Here is a 19,457-nt window from a genome sequence, read left to right on the forward strand (position 1 = left end):
GTGGTGTCCCTGGCATCCTGACTTGGCTCAGCAATACAACCGCTGCACTTTTTTGTTTGTTTGTTTGTTTTTGAGACAGGGTCTGGCTCTGTCGCCCATGCTGGAGTGCAGTGGTGCAGTCCTAGCTCACTGCAGCCTCAACCTCCTGGGCTCAATTGATCCTCCTGCCTCAGCCTCCCGAGGAGTTACAGTCATGCAACACCACACCCAGCTAATTTTTTATTTTTGTAGAGATGGAGTCTTGCTGGGTTGCCCAGGCTGGCCTCAAACTCCTGGCCTTAAGCCATCCTCCCGCCTCGGCCCCCTAAAGTGCTGGGACTACAGGCGGGTGCCCCGCGCCCAGCCCCACTGCTCTCTTCTCAGTAGCAGAGTAGGTCTGGCTCATTCTGCTTCTGGATCTGCTGCGGCGTTCAGAGCAGTGCTGAGCTCCTCGCCACGGGAATGTTTGAAGGAACATAGAAAACCTTAGGGATAAATTGCTTTGCTTTTTCTAAAGTTGGAGCAGCATTTCCTTGGATGCCCAGCCCCAGTAAATCAAGTGGGTTTGGCATTTGTTTGGACCGTAATGGTGTTTTAGGAACAGCTAATTGGCACTTGCGGACCAAGTGTCAGCCCTGGGGCGTGGGCGGTCACTGTGCGGTGGCCACTCTTTATTGGTGTCCCTTTTTCAGAGAGCTGCAAACATGATTCCGGCTCACGACAGTCCTTTAGCGGCACTGGCCTTTGACGCAAGTGGAACTAAACTTGCCACGGCTTCGGAGAAGGTGAGTCTGCTTTTCCCCGGGGGAGCACTGGTGCCAAGGCGTCCACAGACTTTTTCAGTTCTGTTCACACAGCCACCTTAGAGGCAAGGTCCTATACTTACCAGCTCCGGGAGAAGCAAAGACAGCCACCCACTTGTCAGGCCACAGGCGTGTACTGCCCGAGAGTGAGCGGAGCTTGCAGTGTGCCACTGGGACGGGAGAGCTGGTCCACATTTGTAGTAGAAAATACAGAAATGTCCAGAGGAGACAGAAGTGCCGTGTGTAACCACACCGCTCACCCAGTGTGTTTCTAAATGATGAAACTACCACATAACAGTAAAGAACCCAGACAGTGATGAAATGTGAAAAAGCAAAGACAGAATTCTATCCAGCCAGTCTGAACACATTTCAGTGTATTTCATTTTCTCTTTAGTCAACAAAATTGGGATCCTACTATGGGTATAATTTATCCTTTTTCACTCTGCATGACATTTGTCTAAGTTCAAAAACACTTGTAATGGCCGCGCAGTATTTAGTTGTGATTCATGTCAACATCACCCTTTTGGGACTTTGTTTCTAATATGTTGCTGCCGTAGGTAGTAGTGTATTTAAGTCATGTATCAATGTTTTATATGTATTTCTAACTATGAATTCAAGAGATTCCAGTAAGAAGAATGTCTGGCTTTAAAGGAGATGGCCTCTAAATGTCCCCGTGTACCTGTGACCGCGTGGCGAGGCTCCCTGGCCCCCAGGAGACTGAAGGCTCCTTGTTCTCTTCCTCATTTGGACTGTGCCTCTCTTTTCGTTTCAGTTCCTCTTTTCTTGAAAGTTGCGTCTTCCATTCTTCTGTCTTGAGGTCGCGTCTGTTCTCCCGCCTCCGTTTTCTCCGCTCTTCATTGGCCACCGATGACCTTTACTTTGATTTGGATATGATTTTGCTTCTCATTGAAATCCTAAAATAGCCTCCCCTTTCAAGCCATCTCTCCCCTCAAACTATTGACCAGAGAAGATACAATAAAACGTCGGCTCACTTCCTTAGCTTTCCTGCCTGGGCCTTTGTTCTTCAGTCTCACACCCGAGTTCTGTAATAATGATGTCACCGCTTATGGGTCACTTCTGGGTCGTGAATTATCCTGGATCTTTTATCTTCATTACCTCATTTGTTTCCCCTCAGCAAGGTAAACAGTTCTCTGTTTCATAGCAAGGGCTCAGAAAGGTTAAGCGGTGTGCCCGGGGCCGCCCAACTGGGCAGCAACAGAGGGGTCAGACTCCAAGTCTGACTTTGATTCTAATTATGCTAGACTATCCCAATAGCACCTTGTCCTTTTCTTTTCCCTTTGAAATGGCCCTGAAATTCTGTTACCCTTTGACTAATCAAAGTCTCACTGTTAATGTTTCTTTAGTAGCTCTTATAAAGGCCCAAAAGTACTTGATGGAATTTTAAGGCCCATAAAAATAGATTTTTTTTTTTCTGGACTATAAAGAGGAACCTTGATTGCTTGTACATGGAATGCTCTCATCTGTGGAGTGAGAGCAGCAAGGCCTTCCCAGCCCCGCTCTGTCCCAGGTGCTGAGGCCCCCTGAGGCCTGTGACTTAATCCTGCTTTCAAGAATCTTGCGGTCATGTGGCAACAAAACAACTCTTAATTAATTAGTATTGCACGGTAGACGTGCGCCACAAAATTATGTCTCATCTGAAAGTTTAGGCTGCAGAGGACAAAACCTTTGCCGTGGTTATTTTTGTATATGGATGCAGAAAATAGTTCATTCTCTAATTCTCAATGTTACAAGCTCAGTTTGTGTCCCTCCATCCAGAGAGAACCAAGTGTTCTCAAGTACCAGTTTTTTTTTTTTTTGAGACAGGGTCATGCTTGCTCTGTCACCCAGGCTGGAGTGCAGTGGCACAATCTCTGCTCTATGCAACCTCCATCTCCCAGGCTTAAGTGATCTTCCTACTTCAGCCTCCCAAGTAGCTGGGACTACAGGCACCTGCCACCACGCCCGGCTAATTGTTGTACTTTTTGTAGAGATGGGGTTTCACCCTGTTGGCCAGGCTGGTTTCAAACTCCTGAGCTCAAGCGATCTACAAACCTCAGCCTCCCAAAGTGCTAGAATTACAGGAGTGAGCCACTGTGCCTGGCCTATATTCTGATTTCTAATAGCTGTATACTATCCCATTGTATGAGTTTACCATAATTTATGTAAACAGTTCCTTGGTGTTCTACACTTAGGTCATCTGCTGCTTTTTGCTTTTTTTTTTTTTTTGAAACGGAGTCTTGTTCTGTCCCCCAGGCTGGAGTGCAGTGTGGTATGATCTCAGCTCACCACAACCTCTGCCTCCCAGGTTCAAGCAGTTCTCCTGCCGCAGCCTCCTGAGTAGCTGAGATTACAAGCGCGCGCCACCACACCCAGCTAATTTTTGTATTTTGAGTAGATGGGGTTTAACCACGTTGGCCAGGCTGGTCGTGAACTCCTGACCTCGTGATCCACCCGCCTTGGCCTCCCAAAGTGCTGGGATTACAGGAGTGAGCCACCACGCCCAGCCACTTTTTACTATTTACAAACACAGAGATAGTGCAGTGGCATGATCATGGCTCACTGCAGCTTCCACTCCTGGGACAACAGGAACGAATCATCAGGCTTAGCTGATTTTTTTGTTTTTTGTAGAGGTGGGGTCTTGTTATGTTGCCCAGGCTGGTCTTGAACTCCTGGACTCTAGTGTTTCTCCTGTCTTGGCCTCCCCAAGTGCTGGGATTACAGGCATGAGTTACTGCATTCAGCTTAGATAGTCTTTTCTTTCTTTCTTTCTTTCTTTTTTTTGAGACAGAGTCTCTCTGTAGCCCAAGCTGGAGTGCAATGGCGCGATCTCAGCTCACTGCAGCCTCCACCTCTGGGGCTCAAGCGATTCTCGTGCCTCAGCCTCCCAACTAGCTGGGACTACAGGTGCGTGCCACCACACCCACCTAATTTTTTTTTTTTTTTTTTTTTGAGACGGAGTCTTGCTGTGTCACCCAGGCTCAAGTGCAGTGGTATGATCTCGGCTCACTGCAACCTCCGCCTCCTGGGTTCAAGCGATTCTCCTGCCTCAGCCTCCTGAGTAGCTGGGATTACAGGCATGCGCCACCATGCCCAGCTAATTTTGTATTTTTAGTAGAGACGGGGTTTCACCATGTTGGCCAGGCTGGTCTGGAACTCCTCACCTCAGGTGACCACTCACCTCGGGCTCCCAAAGCTTGGGATTACAGGCGTGAGTCACCGCACCTGGCCCACACCCAGCTAATTCTTTTGTATTTTAGTAGAGATGGGGGTTTCACCATGTTGCCCAGGGTGGTCTCGAACTCCTCACCTCAGGAGATCTGCCCACCTTGACCTTCCATCAGCCTAGATATTCTTAACAGTTTTTATATTTAACAGTTTGAACCTCCTAAAATTTGTATAGTAGGAGGGTGAATGTTGAATAATTCTTCCTGCCCTGCAAATTTGGAATGCTACCCATTTTAAGGCCTTTCTTTCCATCAGTCTATTTCTTTTTGTGCTAATTTAATACCGTTATATCACTTGATAGTATTCTTTTAATATTAAAGCATTCAAAGTCCTGCTCGTTATTTTCTTGGCGCTTCTCTGTTTATTCCCCCAGATGTTCATGTCTGTCTCATCATCCACAGATCTGATATTAACTTGGGGGAAGTTGGCATCTTCAAGACACTTCCCATTAAAGCAGGCACATGCCGAGCTCCCTTGTATTCCTAGTTCTTTGTCTTAGTAAGATTTTCTTCATGTGCATCTTACCATTTGGTGAGTTGGGATTGACTCCTTATAAGGTAGTTGAGATTTCCAGCTAATCGGCTCTCTGGATCCGTAACTGAATTTAAAGTGGCAGGAAAGACCTTGGTGGGGTCCGAAGCCTCGTCAGACCACAAGGTCTTGCCCGTGTACCACACACAAATCCAGGCTTTTATTTTTTTTTTTTTTCCCCCCCCGAGATGGAGTCTTGCTCCAGAGCTGGAGTGCAGTGGTGCAGTCTCGGCTCACTGCAACCTCCACCTCCTGGGTTCAAGCGATTCTTCTGCCTCAGCCTCCCGAGTAGTTGGGATTACAGGCATGCGCCACCACACCCAGCTAATTTTGTATTTTTAGTAGAGACACAGTTTCTCCATGTTGGTCAGGCTGGTCTCAAACTCCTGACCTCTGATGATCTGCCCGCCTCGGCCTCCCAAAGTTCTGGGATTACAGGCGTGAGCCACCACGCCCGGCCCAGGCTTTTATTTTTAATAGTTTAAACTTCAGATGACTCAGAACAATAGAATGATATGCCACTTTTGCCCTGAAGACTGTTAGTGTTGAGAGTAAGTAGTCATTTAAAATAGGTTTAAAGAGAAGATTGAACATTAAGTCAACAATAGAACAGGGGAGTGTTTTTCTATGCTCGTGGCAAAAAGTGTGGAGATGATGTTCAAGGGGGGCCCTGGGGGACCCCAGACTCCTTGGTGGCCCAGGGCAGAGCTGTCCTGGAGATAGCCGTGTGGCGCATTTGCAGTCTGCTGTGAAAGATGGGAAATTCCTGTTTTAACTCAGCTCAAATTCTTCTTTTCTCTTTTCCTTCCACAGGGGACCGTGATTAGGGTATTTTCCATTCCAGAAGGACAAAAACTCTTTGAGTTTCGGAGAGGAGTAAAGAGGTAAAGTACGTGAATGTCCAGAATGGATTCTGGAGGTTGTATTTGGATTTCAGTTTTATGTTATCTATGAACAAACAAGTAGAACCCCCAGGAGAATTCCACACGAGCATTTCTAGCCCGGCTGGGTCACCGGGTAAGATCTGGGCGTCGGTCTTGTCATGGGAATTGAAGAGCACTTTCAGAAAAGCAAATTGGGTTTTTGTTTGCGATCCCACCAGCTAGCGTGAGAGTTGTGAAGAGCTCACGCAACCAGGTGGGCCCTCCAGTGCCCGGCAGCTCCCAGCCTGCTGTAAGGGACGGGGCGGCGACGTCATGGGTAGCACACCCTCCCCTTTAAAGGCCACGCTCTGAGAACCTGTTCCAGCTCTCCAGCTCCGCCTCCACCCTCAGCAAATGGCATTGGCCCCTTCTTTTAACCCAGAAGCCGCAGCCTGGAGTTCTCTTGTCTTCCTCCCTCCAGGCTGCAAAGCTTCCCTCATCGGTGCTTACATGCCTCCTGTGGCGCCTGCTTTGGAGGCAGGACTGTCCCTCCCTCGTCGGACAGTAGAGCGGGGGAGGCCTCGGGCTCTGGAGCCCGTGCCTCAGATTGGAGCCCTAGGGAGCACTTTCAGTCGCATGGCCGTGGTCGGCGGGACCCCACCTCAGGTCTGTGGCTCCACGTCTCGGATCAGTACCTCCCTCCCTGAAGGTGGCTGTTGAAAGAGGAGGGGCTGTCTTTCGGGGACTCTCCCGCCATCTGGTCCCCTTTCCTCATGGGATCCCCACAGGTGCAGCAGGTGCACCTCAGTATCCCCAAACGTCACCGCTCCTCCAGCTCCTGCCTCCTCGTGTCCCTTGGTCTTCTTCCTTACACCACATCTTTCTGGAGTTTTCCTGTGTTGCTGCTTCTGCCCAGTTCCCCTCCTGTGCCTGTTTCTGCCCTGGAGCCGCTCTTCACCCAACCCCCTTCCTCACCCCCGTGGCCTGTGTGTGTGCTGATCCCGGGGCTGGACGTGTAGCCTGGCTTCCTTCTTGAGGTGCCCGTATTCCTCCTGCCTGCTGGGCACTGGGCACCTCAAGCCACCAGGCCAGTTTGCCCCTGGCCCCTCGTCCCTCACACTCCCCATCTTGGTAAATAGCGCCACTTGCCACCCCCGCCAGCACCCTGGCACCCAAGCCAGAGGGACTCGGCCCTGCATCCTTCCGCCTGAATGGTGCCTCCAGGGAGCTCCCACCTGTGGGCCCGCCCTGTGCCTCTCCCGCCACGCCACCTGATCCAGGCTTTGCCTGGTTTCTGCTGTTGCCCTGGATTCCTGTCAGGCCGTTCTTCAGACTCTCACCCAGGCTGTTTGAAAAATGTAAATATAATCCAATCACACCCCACCTGACATCTCCCACCACACCTCTGTCCTGCAGGATTAGCCCCAGGCCCCTGCCTTGGTTCAGCAGGCCTCCCGGCACCAGCCCTTCCGCCCAGCCTGATTCTGTTTCACTGTCCCTGTCCTGGCTCCAGCAGTACCGCACTTTCAGATCCTCAGAAGAGCCGATCTCTTTTATCCACCAGGGTCTTGCGTGAGCTGGCAGATCTGGTGGCCTGGCCGGCTTCTGTAACCCTGGGAGTCCAAGTCGAGTGTCGCCCTCGAGGAGGCCTTTTTTTGATCCTTGGGTTAAATCCCTTTCTCCATGCGTCTCTAGTGCCTTCCACGTATTTTTCTCACATTCCTTTGCCTGTGGCAAATGGAATATTTGGGTGACCGCCCAAGGGGTTCACCTTGCCCGCTGCCTAGGCAGAGCCGATTCATCAAGATGGGAATTGCAGTAGAGAAAGTAATTCATGCAGAGCTGGCCATGCGGGAGGCTGGAGTTTTACTACTACTCAAATCAGTCTGTCTGAGCATTCAGGGAGCAGAGTTTTTAAGGATAACTTGGGTGGGGAGAAGCCAGTGAGCCAGGAGGGCTGACTGGTCAGAGATGAAATGTTAGGGAGTCGGAGCTGTCTTCTTGCACTCAGTGAGTTCCTGGCTGGGGGCCACAAGATCAGATGAGCCAGTTCATTGATCTGTGTGGGGCCGCCGGATCCATCAAGTGCAGGGTCTGCAAAATACCATAAGCAAACTTTCTCCCAAAGTTAATTCAGCCTATGCCCGGGGAGGAACAAGGACGGCTTGGAGATGACAAGCAAGATGGAGTCAGCAAAGCTAGATCTCGTTCACCGTCTCAGTCATAATTTTGCAAAGGCGGTTTCGTTTGCACCTCCCTGACCCCACCCCCATCGCTGGATGCTGCATTAAGGCGAGAACATTCCTAATTCATACACATGGTCAACACTGACTCCAGGAAAACCCCTTGCTATTACGGACAGGGCTAAAAGTATCTTGTATTTCTAGGGTTATGAAGAAATTCACATGAATTTAGTGGCTTTGGGATGCCGATTGATTTTTAAGACACACTGGAGCCACTTTCCCTGTTGAAAGTTTTGCTCTGTCTTTTTTTTTTTTTAAATAATTGAGACAGAGTCTCACTCTGTCGCCCAGGCTGGAGTGCAGTGGTGCGATCTCAGCTCACTGCAACCTCTGCCTCCCAGGTTCAAGCAATTCTCCTGCCTCAGCCTCCCGAGTAGCTGGGACTACAGGCACCCGCCACCACGCCCAGCTAATTTTTGTAATTTTAGTAGAGACGGGGGGTTTCACCATGTTGGCCAGGATGGTCTCGATATCTTGACCTCATGATCCGCCCACCTTGGCCTCCCAAAGTGCTGGGATTACAAGCTTGAGCCACCGTGCCCGGCCCTTTGCTCTGTTCTTAAACTTTACTGAGGTTGCCGATTTACCCTCTGGTGTGGAAAGAATGGCTGTAACTTAAATTACTGAGTTTTCTTTTACTCACCTTAGGACTATAAATCCATCCTACTTCAGCTAAAAGTGGTTTAGTGAAATCCTACTCCTTTTGTCATGTGGAAGCTTGCAGCTGTGTTAACGAATTGTTCTTAGTATTTCCTTTTGAACATTTTCCTCTCTCAAGGAAAATGTTTGAGAAGGTGGCTAGAGGGGAATAAAACTTACCAGCAGGCCCAAGTGTGCCCGTGACAGGAACTCTTCTCCGCCACTTGAGTTGAACCCCTGGGGCAGCTGCTGGCTCCGGTGGCCCGCCCCAACCTGTGCGTCTCCCCAGGTGCGTGAGCATCTGCTCCCTGGCCTTCAGCATGGACGGCATGTTCCTCTCCGCCTCCAGCAACACTGAGACCGTGCACATCTTCAAACTCGAGACTGTGAAAGAAAAGTGAGTTGCAAATATACGTTTCTTTAAAAATGATGCAAAACCCTTTGTCCCCACTTGCTGCCGGGATGAGAGGTAAGCACGGACCCGCCCACCCTCTGACATCGTTAGCCAGTGAAGACCCCGGAGCTGGCCATGGAGCGAGCACCTCCGCATCCAGGCTCGGCAGTGAGGAGGATGGGCCCCAGCAGATGAGCTTCTCCCACAGGCAGCACGCAGGGTAGACAGAGCCCTCGCGTAGGGCATGGAGGGCCCAGGTGGACATCCTTTTGTCAGTGAAGATGGCCTCTCCTCAGGTTCCCCTCACGACAAAAGCGTTTGTGATCAGACAGCCCACTAGGGTGAATGGCTCGTCTCTTACCTTCCCACGGGTAAGCAGAGACATGGACGGCTTCCACAAGAATTTATTATCGCAATGAATGTGTAGCATGAGGGGGGTCTTATCTTTTAAGAGGGGCTTACTCTGTTGCCCAGGCTGCAGTGCAGTGGTACAGTCATTACTTATTGTAGCCTCTAGCTGCTGGGCTCAAGCGATCCTCCTGCCTCAGCCTCCTGAGTACCTGGGACTATAGGCGTGCACCATGCCTGGCTAATTTTTAAAATTTTGTAGAGACAGAATTTCGCTGTGTTGCCCAGGCTGGTCTGGAATTCCTGGGCTCAAGTGATCTGCCGGTGAGCCACCGCGCCCAGCCTGTCTTTAAAAATTTTAAAAAGAACATCCCACTCAGACCAGCGTTAACAATAACATACTTTAGGTGGTCAAAAATAATAAATTTTGTTGGGTATATTTCATCACAATTTTTAAAAAGACAAATGGAGCATGCCCCGCCCTCCCCCCCAAAAAAGATGAATAGCAACACAAACAGGATACGGGAAAATAACATTTTGGGGTCTATACTCAAGGTTTTTGGAGACTTCTATTACAGAGACCTAGCAGGGGTCATCAGTTAGGCCCTAGACGTCCTCACACCCTTGCAAAGGGGATGTGTGGTCAGCTGCCACGTCTTGTCCGTGGCCAAAGGCTGTAGCTCCTCCCTGAAGCCTGAGCACCCCTCCCCCGACACCTCCCAGAGGAAGCTCCGTGATGCCCCTGGGGCCCTGAGTGTCTGCTTATAACCAACCCTGTTTAATTTTCCTGTGAAGAATGGAGACTTTTGCTGTCGGCTCCAGAGCTGTGCGTCTGTGTGAGTAGGGGGTGGCCGTCCCCCCAGGGAGGGTGCAGCTTCATGTGTCTGGTGGCCTTTCCTTCCAGACCCCCAGAGGAGCCCACCACCTGGACCGGGTACTTCGGGAAAGTGCTCATGGCCTCCACCAGCTACCTGCCTTCCCAAGTGACAGAAATGTTCAACCAGGGCAGAGCCTTCGCCACGGTCCGCCTGCCATTCTGCGGCCACAAAAACATCTGCTCGCTAGCCACGTGAGTAGAGCCGGCGCCTCCGTCCCCCACCCCGTGTGCCTCAGGCCGAGGGGCCCAGTCCTGGCGGCTTGTGGCCCCTTCCGTGCTTCTGAACAGGAGCAGCTTCTTAGAGCCGACACTCCATCGAGAGTTGTCGGGGATGGGAGGTCCCCTGGCAGGCACTAGGCTTGCCGCTCTGTGCGGGGGTCCATTTCCAGACGGGCTCCCGTTCTGTTTTTGTGGATAGTCTGCGGTATTAATGAAAGACGTTAAGTCAAACCTCGTGAGTGTGCCGTAGTTAACCCTTTGGGGCCACAGAAACCGCACTTGCCGAGTCTCAGGCATCCGTCCGGCTCCAGGGTCTGGCCTCAGAACACACACAGGGCCTGTGGAGGTTCTGTGCTGCGTGCGGGAAAGATTGTCATTACACCCAGTGATGGCAGGGCTTTGGGCTTCCGTGCGTCTTTAAACATCATTTTCCAGTTTTGTTATCTGACTAGCATCCTGGAAAACTTCTCTGACGATGACTACCTATAATAATCCCAGAAGCCACAAAACTGGTTTCATCCCGCTCTCGTCTCCCGTGGGCTTCAGGGCTCAGCACACGAGTGCAGCCTTGGCCGTGTGAGCCGAGGTCAGTGGGGCGCCAGACACCTGCAGCTGCCCTTGTGCTCATCTTGCTGGGGTCTCTTTCCTCGCCTGCCAAAAGTGAGGCCGCCATGTAGTAAGACCGTTTCTGTGACAGTTGTCTAGAATTTGGCTGCTCTTTATTCTCCCTAGAATTCAGAAGATCCCGCGGTTGTTGGTGGGTGCCGCCGACGGGTACCTGTACATGTACAACCTGGACCCCCAGGAGGGCGGCGAGTGTGCCCTGATGAAGCAGCACCGGTGAGTCTGCTCCGGCCGCTTCACGGAGCTGCTCCGTGCTGGCGGGGGGCTTTCGGGGCACCTGGCGAACGTTTGTTTATTTCCTTGCAAACCAGTGACATAGAGGGGCAGATTCCAGCACAGCGGCCCATGCCGCGCAGGTCGGGAGCTTCGCTTTCCCAGGTGAAATCAATGCCGCCGCAAGACAGGGAGCCCCGGGCTGCGGCTGGTGGCGTCAGGGCTCCCTCAGGGACTGGGCACAGAGGCGACGCAGGGGTGGCGGGAGCCGCATTTGTTCTTAGGTGGGGGAGAGGTGCTGGGAGGCCAGGCCTTCCTCCCCAGGGTGGAGTTTCGCATTTGGAAAGGAAGGGCGCAGCGTGGTGGCCTCCACAATTCAGTGCACGTGGCTGAGAGCCTCTTGTCTCACTGTGAGGTACAGGTTTGTTCTTGGAAAACAGGGAGTTAACATTTGTTCATTGGGAAGTAATGCATTTTCATTCTGTCTTACATGTTTTTTAATGATCAAAAAGTTCTAACAACATATAATTTTTTATTTTAGAGATAGGGTCTCACCCTCGCCCAGGCTGGAGAGCAGTGGTGCAGTCACAGCTCACTGCAGCCTTGACCTCCCAGGTTCAAGGGATCCTTCCACCTCAGCCTCCCTAGTAGCTGGGACTACAGGCACACAGCACATCCAGCTAATTACTTTCTTGTGCAGGGTCTTGCTAGGTTGTCCAGGCTGGTCTGGAACTCCTAGGCTCAAGTGAGCCTCCTGCCTTGGCCTCCCCAAGTGTTGGGGTAACAGGAGTGAGCCGCTGCACCTAGCTTTTTGTGTGTGTGTGTGAAATGGAGTCTCACTCTGTCACCCAGGCTGGAGTACAGTGGCGCGATCTCGGCTCACTGCAATCTCCGCCTCCCAGGTTCAAGCGATTCTCCTGCCTCAGCCTCCCGAGTAGCTGGGATGACAGGTGCATGCCACCATGCCCTGCTAATTTTTTGTATTTTTAGTAGAGACGGGGTTTCACTGTGTTAGCCAGGATGGTCTCCGTCTCCTGACCTCGTGATCCGCCCGCCTCAGCCTCCCAAAGTGCTGGGATTACAGGCGTGAGCCACTGCACCCGGGCTAGCCTGACTTTTTTTGTAAATAGTGAATCCTCGTTATTAGTTAGTTCTTCCATTGTAAAAGTGAAATATTGTCTTGTTAGGTATAACTCCCTCTTTAGACTTTCCATGTAAAACTCTTCATGTAAAAACGTGTGCAGATAGACGAGATTAAAGTTGCCACGGCGTGATGAATGCCTGGCGTCCTGTGTGGTGAGTGGTGTGCTGGCTCTGTTGCCGCAGGGCAGCCAGTGTGTACTGCCCGCAGGGCTGCCCTGTGTGGAGACGCTGAGCTGTGTCGCTTTCTTCCCTCCAGGCTGGACGGCAGTCTGGAAACGACCAATGAGATCTTGGACTCTGCCTCTCACGACTGCCCCTTAGTCACTCAGACATACGGCGCAGCTGCAGGAAAAGGTACTTACGTGCCTTCATCCCCAACGAGACTTGGTAAGGGGCGTGACGCAAACCTGGAAGGTAATTAGCCCCACAGCCCCGAGTGCTACTGCCTTCTGCTGGCTCCGGAGCCACCCCACCAGCTCCTCACTGGGAAAGATGGGGACTGGTTCTGAGAACATAAGCGAGGTTGGTAAATGGGTGTTCCCAAGGCCTCTCTCAAGGCTGAATTCAGTTTCGTTTCCTTTTTTTTTTTTTTTTTTAAAGGAGAGATGGGGTTTCCCTATGTTGCCCAGGGTGGTCTCAAACTCCTCCTGGGCTCAAGTGATTCTCCCGCCTCAGCCTCCCACAGTGCTGGGATTATAGGCATGAGCCACCGTACCAGGCTCATTTTCTCCGTTTTTAAAGAAAATGTCATCCTGGCTCAGGTGACTCTGGGGTCACGTGACTTGGGCCCAGACTGGCCACCTCTCAGCCAAGATACCACCCTGAAAAGTACTGCCAAGGGTTTTGCCTCAGTCTTTTCCCTCCCACCTTTTTCGTCCTTCAGCAAATCTGCATCGAGTACTGCCTTCATGCTGGGCCTGTGAAGTGCAGAAGCTGTAGGGGAATGAGGCCAATGGGCTCCCCTCCGGCGGCAGCACTAAGACCCATGCATGAGATCCTCCAGCCACAGCCTTGGCTATGTGAGCCACCTTCTTAAAAAAGCCAACTCGCACTCCAGTGGGAGAGCCTGTGGTTTTGCACCCACGCAGGGCTGTGCCTGCTCGCTGCCACTCCCATCTGTGAACCGGCACTTCCAGTTCATGAGCCCACCCTGAGAGTCTCCTAGTGTCATTTTTTTTCCTGGTGTTATTTTTGAGCTCTTAACCAGCTTGAGAGAGTTTGTGGCCCGTCCATGAGGGAGCCTCTGTTTACTGTGCAGGCATCATTTTGACATTTATGAATGTCAGAGAACAAATGACTTCATCTCGAGCTGCCTAAGGCTGCAAAGAGTTCATTAGAAAGCAATCAGAATTCAGAACGTCTTAGTACAGGCTTCAGTTTATAAATATACACCAGTGTTTCCAAAACACAGTCCTCAGTGTGTGTCATGGGGTCTGTGGTGTGTCCCCAGCCTTTGAAGGGTGACTTCGTCGTCTCTTTGCAGCCTACACAGACGACCTGGGTGCTGTGGGTGGCGCCTGCCTGGAGGACGAGGCCAGCGCCCTGCGCCTGGATGAGGACAGCGAGCACCCGCCCATGATTCTTCGGACTGACTGAACTTGACCTGTGACCTCTGACCCGGGGAGCAGAGAACACTGGCTTCACAGAGGACTTTGTGCATTGCTGCTATGAACTTTGACCTGAGTCGGGGGAGAGGATGGCAGAGACTTTATTAAAAAAAAAAAAAGATTGTAGTGGTAGTCTAACTCCATAACGCTGAGGAAATACATCATTTTCACTTCAGTGGCTTTTAAATCCTGCTTATGAATTTTAGCTTTTTGTTTGTTTGTTTTCTCTTTTTGCCAAAATTAACTGTTTGGTGAAGCCCGCAAAACCTCCTCGCTTTGCATGCATGAACGTGCCAAGCCAGCATAGGGGAGCTAGAAGCCACTTTCCAGCCACCTGCCGTTGGGTTTTTTCATATCTGTACATAATGCCGAGTGCGTAAGGAAACCGTGGCGTCGCGCACAGTGGGTCTGCTTGTCAAGGCCAGTTCTGCAGTGACAGGCCCAGGGGCTGCCCACCAGGTGTGCTGGGCAGACTTCAGCTGGGACAGAAGTCCGATCTCCCTAGGGCCCCACCTGGACCATTTTCCCTCCGTTTTATTTTGTTAATTAAATTCTTTCCAAATTGGATCGCTCTGGGATTTCTTCCATGGTGGACTTTTGTTTCTGATCTTGTTTTCCCTGTGGATATTGGAGGACAGCGAGGTTCTTTCTGATACTAAAAACCTTTCTTTCAGGCAGCAAATGAACTTGAAAGGTTGCCTGGACTCGCTGGAGCAAAGGAAAGCGATTTTGTTTGTATAATTAAATGATCTGTTCTTCTACTTCACTCTTCCTGTTGAAAAACTGTGTGATTTTTTTTTTTTTTTAAGTAAAGTTTGTAGCTCCTCCCATGCCCAGGAAAGCACAGAACTCAAGTGTGGTGGCCGTCTGAGCTGTCCTTTCGCTGGCCCCGCTGTCCGCAGGGGCTTCCTACCTGTGTGAGAGGTCGTAGCGGGAGACAGCAACAGAGAGTAGGCGGCTGGGCCACGTCCTTCACAGGGCGTCATGTGCCTTTCTATTTTCATCTTAGAAAATTTCCTCAGCAAACCGATGAGAGATTGTGGTTGCAAGCTTCAGTATTTGCCTCGCTTCCCTTCCCTTTTCATATTTACAGAATTAAAACAACCTCAAGTACCTCAGACTCTGCATTCCAAACCAAGGCACCCAGCAGCCAAAGTGTCGAGGGCATTTAAGTGGCATTAATGGCAGGAGAGATGGTTTTAGAATCTATGGAGTGGTGGAAGTTACGGATAGAAGGGAAAAGGCAAAAACTATTTACCCTGCCTTTGCAGGCTGGGGTTTTTGAACCGAGGAAGGCTGGGACGCCTGTTTCCAGATGGTTGTCATGGTCACGCTGGGCGAAGAGCTGGAGGGGAGTTGTCCCCTCAGCTGAGCGGCTGCGGTGAAATGCCCCAGTGTTCCTGGGTTGGCTTTACGGCAAACTAAATGCAGGGGACGCTGGAGTCCGACTCACCTACACCGGCTTCCTCCCAGCCGCTGGTGTGCGGCACACACAACATCTGCATTAGGCAGAGGTGCAAGTGGGCTGATTGAACTTTTCCTTCAAAACCTGCTTGTCTGTCCTGGACCTTTGATGAAATGGGATCCCGGTCACGCAGGCTGAGACAGTGGGGACCGCCGAGGCCAGAGTGGGCTATGCTTGAGCAGGGATGAGAAGGGCCGCGGCAGCACGCAGCCTTGACCCACGCCTGCGTCTTGTGGTGCAAGGCCAGAGGGCTCTCTCTAGAACCTGACCGTGCACTCCATCTCCTGGGAGCCACTTTTGGCAAGAGTGAGTGTGGGGGGAAAAAGTGTGCACAAGAGATACGGAACCCTGAGCTAGGGTTTCCTGTCACCAAAGAGTGAGCTGCATTTCCAGTTCTGCGTTAAAGTATCGTTTGTTCTGGTGCCTGCCTGTGGTGGTGATTTGGAGACTCAAATTTCCTTTGCCAGGTCTCTTTTGTCTTTCTTTGGGATTGGTAGTATAGAAGATGCTGGGAATTGTCTTCCTCGCTCAGCCTCGGCTTCCCGCACTGTAAGATGAGGCAGTTGCAGAGGAGGCCTCGGACGTCCTGTGACCCTCGGCCCACACTCCCCCTTGGGTGGCCCTGGCAGGGCTGGCTAGGTGCGTTCCCTGCAGACCACGGGAAGCCCTGTGCTTGCCTGGGTCAGGGCTAAGCTGTGCGCCCTAGAGGAGGGAGGAGGACTGCAGATTCTTGGTCGAGAAGAATGAAGAGGATTTCTGTGTTTGCTGAGCAGCCATTGTGGAGGGTTACCCGCCTCCACTTTCCCGTTGCCCATTTCACTGCCACCAGCTCCTCTTCCTCTGCTCGAACCTATGAGTCCCAGCCTCACTGGCGGCCTCAGACATGCTCAGGAGTGACGGGGACAGAGGGAGGCCGCTGAGTTGCCCGTTAGAACTCTTACTGCTGCGCCAGTGACCCAGGTGGAGAGGGACCCTGAACCAAACAGAACGTGTGCTAATTTTCCGAACTCCAAACTGTACACTCATATTCATTTTTAAATTGTATTTTTCCAAACTTCAAAAAGGACGATGAGCGTGGGGGATAGGAAACAAAACCTGTAAACGTTGTGAATGGGCTCAGTGGACTCTGGGACCAAACCTTCTGTAATCTCTAAAACAATGGGACCAAGAGCTGGATGGAACCTGGAGTCAAAAAGAACTGCTTCAGTCCCCGCTGTACCGCCTGCCTAGCTGTGGGAGCAGGCAGGGCGCCTGGGAGCCTGCGTTTTCTGGACCGTTCCATGGGACTCATCCCTACCTCACAGGGCTGTTGTGAGGTGTTGTGTGACTGCGTGTCCTGCAAACGCCCAGCTCGGTGCCCAGCCAGCGGTGGGCACCCAATAAACGCTACAACATAAATGTGTCTTCTGCAATTAAACACGATTTTTATTCAGTTCTGGTTTTTGAATAAGCCAGGCGGGAGGGAGGTGACAATACGGGTAAGAAGTGTAATTCAGAGGCTAGGCACGGTGGCTCACACCTGTAATCCCAGCACTTTGGGAGGCCAAGGTGGGCGGATCACTTGAGGTTAGGAATTCGAGACCAGCCTGGCCAACATGGTGAAACGACATTTCTACTAAAAATACAAAAATTAGCTGGGGGGGTGGGGCGGGGGATGGTGCACGTCTGTAATCCCAGCTACTTGGGAGGCTGAAGCAGGAGAATCGCTTGAACCTGGGAGGCAGAGGTTGCCAGGAGCCAAGATTGCATCAGTGCACTGCAGCCTAGGCGACAGAGCAAGACTCTGTCTCAAAAAAAAAAAGTGTAATTCACATGGAGGTTACACGTGGGTCTCTTTCATCCCCGCCTTTTCTCAACACCAAGCTTAACGGGCAGGTGGTGCGAGCTGGTCTGGGAGGTGGTGGGCGCCCTGGAACAGCAGGCCCTGCCCCTGTCAGGGGACCCAGGAGCTCCATGGCTGCCGTTCCCTGCCACAGAGAGAACTGGGTGATTCTTCCCACGCACGGTTTCATTTGGAGAGGGGAGAGAGGGAGTCTTCCTACCTCCACAACCAGCAGTGGGCTCCATGTGTAAAAGGCCGGGAGTGCTTTGGCCACAGCTTAGCCAAGGAAACGGGACAAGGGGTGGCAGAAAACATGCTCATCCCTGTTGCTCGTCTGGTTTTTTTGGTTTAGTTTTTTGTTTGGGGGTTTTTGTGGTTTTTTTTTTTTGAGACTGAGTCTCGCTCTGTCGCCCAGGCTGGAGTGCAGTGGCACGATCTCGGCTCACTGCAACGTGCACCTCCTGGGTTCAAGCAATTCTCCCTCAGCCTCCTAAGTAGCTGGGACTATAGGCACGCACCACCACGTCCGGCTAATTTTTGTATTTTTAGTAGAGACCGGGTTTCACCATGTTGGCCAGGCTGGTCTCGAACTCCTGACCTCAAGTGATCCACCCGCCTCGGCCTCCCAAAGTGCTGAGATTATAGCCATGAGCCACCTCGCCCCGCTGCTCGTGGTTTTCATAACCACATTGGCAAAGGGTGGGGATGGGCCAGGCTTGTTGTTTCGTGTGTCCCCTGCCCTACATCTTTGTAGACCAGACCTTTGCATGCAGGGAATGACCGAGTCACTTGTTTGAAATGTACATGAGGTGGCTCATGCCTGTAATCCCAACCCTTTGGGAGGCAGAAGCGGGCGGATCATCTAAGGTCAGGAGTTCGAGGCCAGCCTGGCCAACATGGCAAAACCTGTCTCTACTAAAAATACAAAAAGTAACCAGGCGTGGTGGTGGGTGCCTGTAATCCCAGCTACTCTGGAGGCTGAGGCAGGACAGTTGCTTGAAACCGGGAGGTGGAGGTTGCAGTGAGCTGAGTCATGCCACTGCACTCTCACCTGGGCAACAGAGTGAGACTGTCTCAAAAAAGAAAAAGAAAAAGAAACGGACATGTGACACCATGGCCAGCAAGCAGGAAATCCAAATGCGTTATTTTACAAGCGTACTTAAGAGAGAGGCGGGACCGTTCGGCTTCAGCTCTGTGGTGTTGGAGATGTAAAAAGAACGTGCAGGGAAACCGTGGGACTTCTGTTTGGGTCGCCTCCCTGCTTTACATAGAATTCTCTTTTTTATGACTTATTTCTTACTGAAAATATATCATGATAATCATTGGCCAAGCAGATAGGGTTTTTCTGACGTATCTTTTAGTTCTGACCCAGGTCATAACCCTTCACCTATGTCATACCTTTTCAATCTGTGGGTTTTTCTGAAGCACAAAAACAAAACAAAACCAATCTCAGGGTTTTGAGATGTGACCAGTTCTTACCCTTCCCTAATAACCAGCTAGGAAAGTCTCTAATTTAGAAAAATGAGGCCGGGCGCGGTGGCTCATGCCTATTGTAATCCCAGCACTTTGGGAGGCCAAGGCGGGTGGATCACAAGGTCAGGCGTTTGAGACCAGCTTGACCAACATGGTGAAACCCCGTCTCTACTAAAAATACATGGGCATGGTGGCATGTGCCTGTAATCCCAGCAACTCAGGAGGCTGAGGCAGGAGAATCGCTTGAACCCGGGAGGCAGAGTTTGCAGTGAACAGAGATCATGCCACTGCACTCCAGCCTGGGTGACAGAGCACAGCTCTGTCTCAAAAAAAAAAAAAAGAAAAAAGAAAAATGAAATCTTTCTAAAGTTCAGAATGTGAAGAGACTGTCTTGATTCCTCACCTCTACATCGTTTCTTTCTATAGTTAGTTATAATGTAAATAGATTCCTCTTAACACTTCATTTTAGGTGAAGCTGTTTTTGGTGCTGCCAGTGTGCGTGCATGTGTGTGTGTGTGTGTGTCTGTGAGTGTGTGTGTGTGTGCCTGCCTGAGCTTCAGGTGAACATACTGATTACATTCCCCCACCAAATCTGACTGAAAGCCCATTGCTATCAGCATTTTATAACACGCTAAAGAATTGGACGTGGTGGCTCACACCTATAATCCCAGCTTCTTGGGAGGCCAAGGCAGGAGGATCGCTTGAGACCAGCAATTTGAGGCAAGGCCAGTCTGGACCACATAGCAAGACCCCCTCTCTTAAAATTAAAACCTGTGTTCTATTTTTTTGTTGCCTACTCACAGGCTGAACATCTCATTTGTTTTTGTTTGTTTGGTTTGTTTTTGAGACAGTCTCACTCTGTCACCCAGGCTGGAGTGCAGTGGTGCGATCTCAGCTCACTGCAACCTCTGCCTCCCAAGTTCAAGCGATTCTCCTGCCTCAGCCTCCTGAGTAGCTGGGATTACAGGTGCCCACCACCACGCAAGGCT

The 19,457-nt window shown here is 51.2% G+C and overlaps 1 protein-coding gene across 7 annotated transcripts in view, besides 6 other annotated features; it reads left to right on the forward strand.

The window, feature by feature from the left end:
* Nucleotides 1–16,605, forward strand: part of WIPI2 (WD repeat domain, phosphoinositide interacting 2) — a 43,623-nt gene extending 27,018 nt beyond the window's left edge. For 3 of the 7 annotated variants that reach the window (NM_001278299.2, NM_015610.4, NM_016003.4), the window contains 7 exons: nucleotides 672–764; nucleotides 5,352–5,422; nucleotides 8,573–8,680; nucleotides 9,930–10,094; nucleotides 10,854–10,961; nucleotides 12,358–12,488; nucleotides 13,585–16,590. In NM_001278299.2, the coding sequence (NP_001265228.1) occupies nucleotides 672–764; nucleotides 5,352–5,422; nucleotides 8,573–8,680; nucleotides 9,930–10,094; nucleotides 10,854–10,961; nucleotides 12,358–12,488; nucleotides 13,585–13,697 (789 nt within the window). In that variant the 3' untranslated portion in view covers nucleotides 13,698–16,590. Of the gene's footprint in view, nucleotides 1–671; nucleotides 765–5,351; nucleotides 5,423–8,572; nucleotides 8,681–9,929; nucleotides 10,095–10,853; nucleotides 10,962–12,357; nucleotides 12,489–13,584 lie in introns of all 7 variants that reach the window. The other 4 variants (NM_001033518.2, NM_001033519.2, XM_006715685.2 and 1 more) reach the window with 3 other exon arrangements.
* Nucleotides 1,051–2,250: an enhancer, noted in NCBI's record as "CDK7 strongly-dependent group 2 enhancer chr7:5257932-5259131 (GRCh37/hg19 assembly coordinates)". NCBI's record gives its function as "activates an origin of replication core promoter dependent on BRD2, BRD4, P300/CBP, MED14 and CDK7 cofactors, with strong dependence on CDK7, by STARR-seq in HCT116 cells {active_cell/tissue: HCT116}" and the evidence as "EXISTENCE:reporter gene assay evidence [ECO:0000049][PMID:35650434]".
* Nucleotides 1,109–1,188: an enhancer, noted in NCBI's record as "active region_25572". NCBI's record gives its function as "activates an Ori minimal core promoter by ATAC-STARR-seq in GM12878 lymphoblastoid cells {active_cell/tissue: GM12878}" and the evidence as "EXISTENCE:reporter gene assay evidence [ECO:0000049][PMID:35858748]".
* Nucleotides 1,199–1,908: an enhancer, noted in NCBI's record as "active region_25573". NCBI's record gives its function as "activates an Ori minimal core promoter by ATAC-STARR-seq in GM12878 lymphoblastoid cells {active_cell/tissue: GM12878}" and the evidence as "EXISTENCE:reporter gene assay evidence [ECO:0000049][PMID:35858748]".
* Nucleotides 5,553–6,302: an enhancer, noted in NCBI's record as "H3K4me1 hESC enhancer chr7:5262434-5263183 (GRCh37/hg19 assembly coordinates)". NCBI's record gives its function as "activates a minimal SCP1, AML or CMV promoter by ChIP-STARR-seq in primed H9 embryonic stem cells {active_cell/tissue: H9 hESC(primed)}" and the evidence as "EXISTENCE:reporter gene assay evidence [ECO:0000049][PMID:30033119]".
* Nucleotides 14,707–14,856: an enhancer, noted in NCBI's record as "active region_25574". NCBI's record gives its function as "activates an Ori minimal core promoter by ATAC-STARR-seq in GM12878 lymphoblastoid cells {active_cell/tissue: GM12878}" and the evidence as "EXISTENCE:reporter gene assay evidence [ECO:0000049][PMID:35858748]".
* Nucleotides 17,423–17,482: a silencer, noted in NCBI's record as "silent region_17911". NCBI's record gives its function as "represses an Ori minimal core promoter by ATAC-STARR-seq in GM12878 lymphoblastoid cells {active_cell/tissue: GM12878}" and the evidence as "EXISTENCE:reporter gene assay evidence [ECO:0000049][PMID:35858748]".

This window comes from Homo sapiens, chromosome 7, assembly GCF_000001405.40.
Source record: "Homo sapiens chromosome 7, GRCh38.p14 Primary Assembly".
Taxonomy (NCBI): domain Eukaryota; kingdom Metazoa; phylum Chordata; class Mammalia; order Primates; family Hominidae; genus Homo; species Homo sapiens.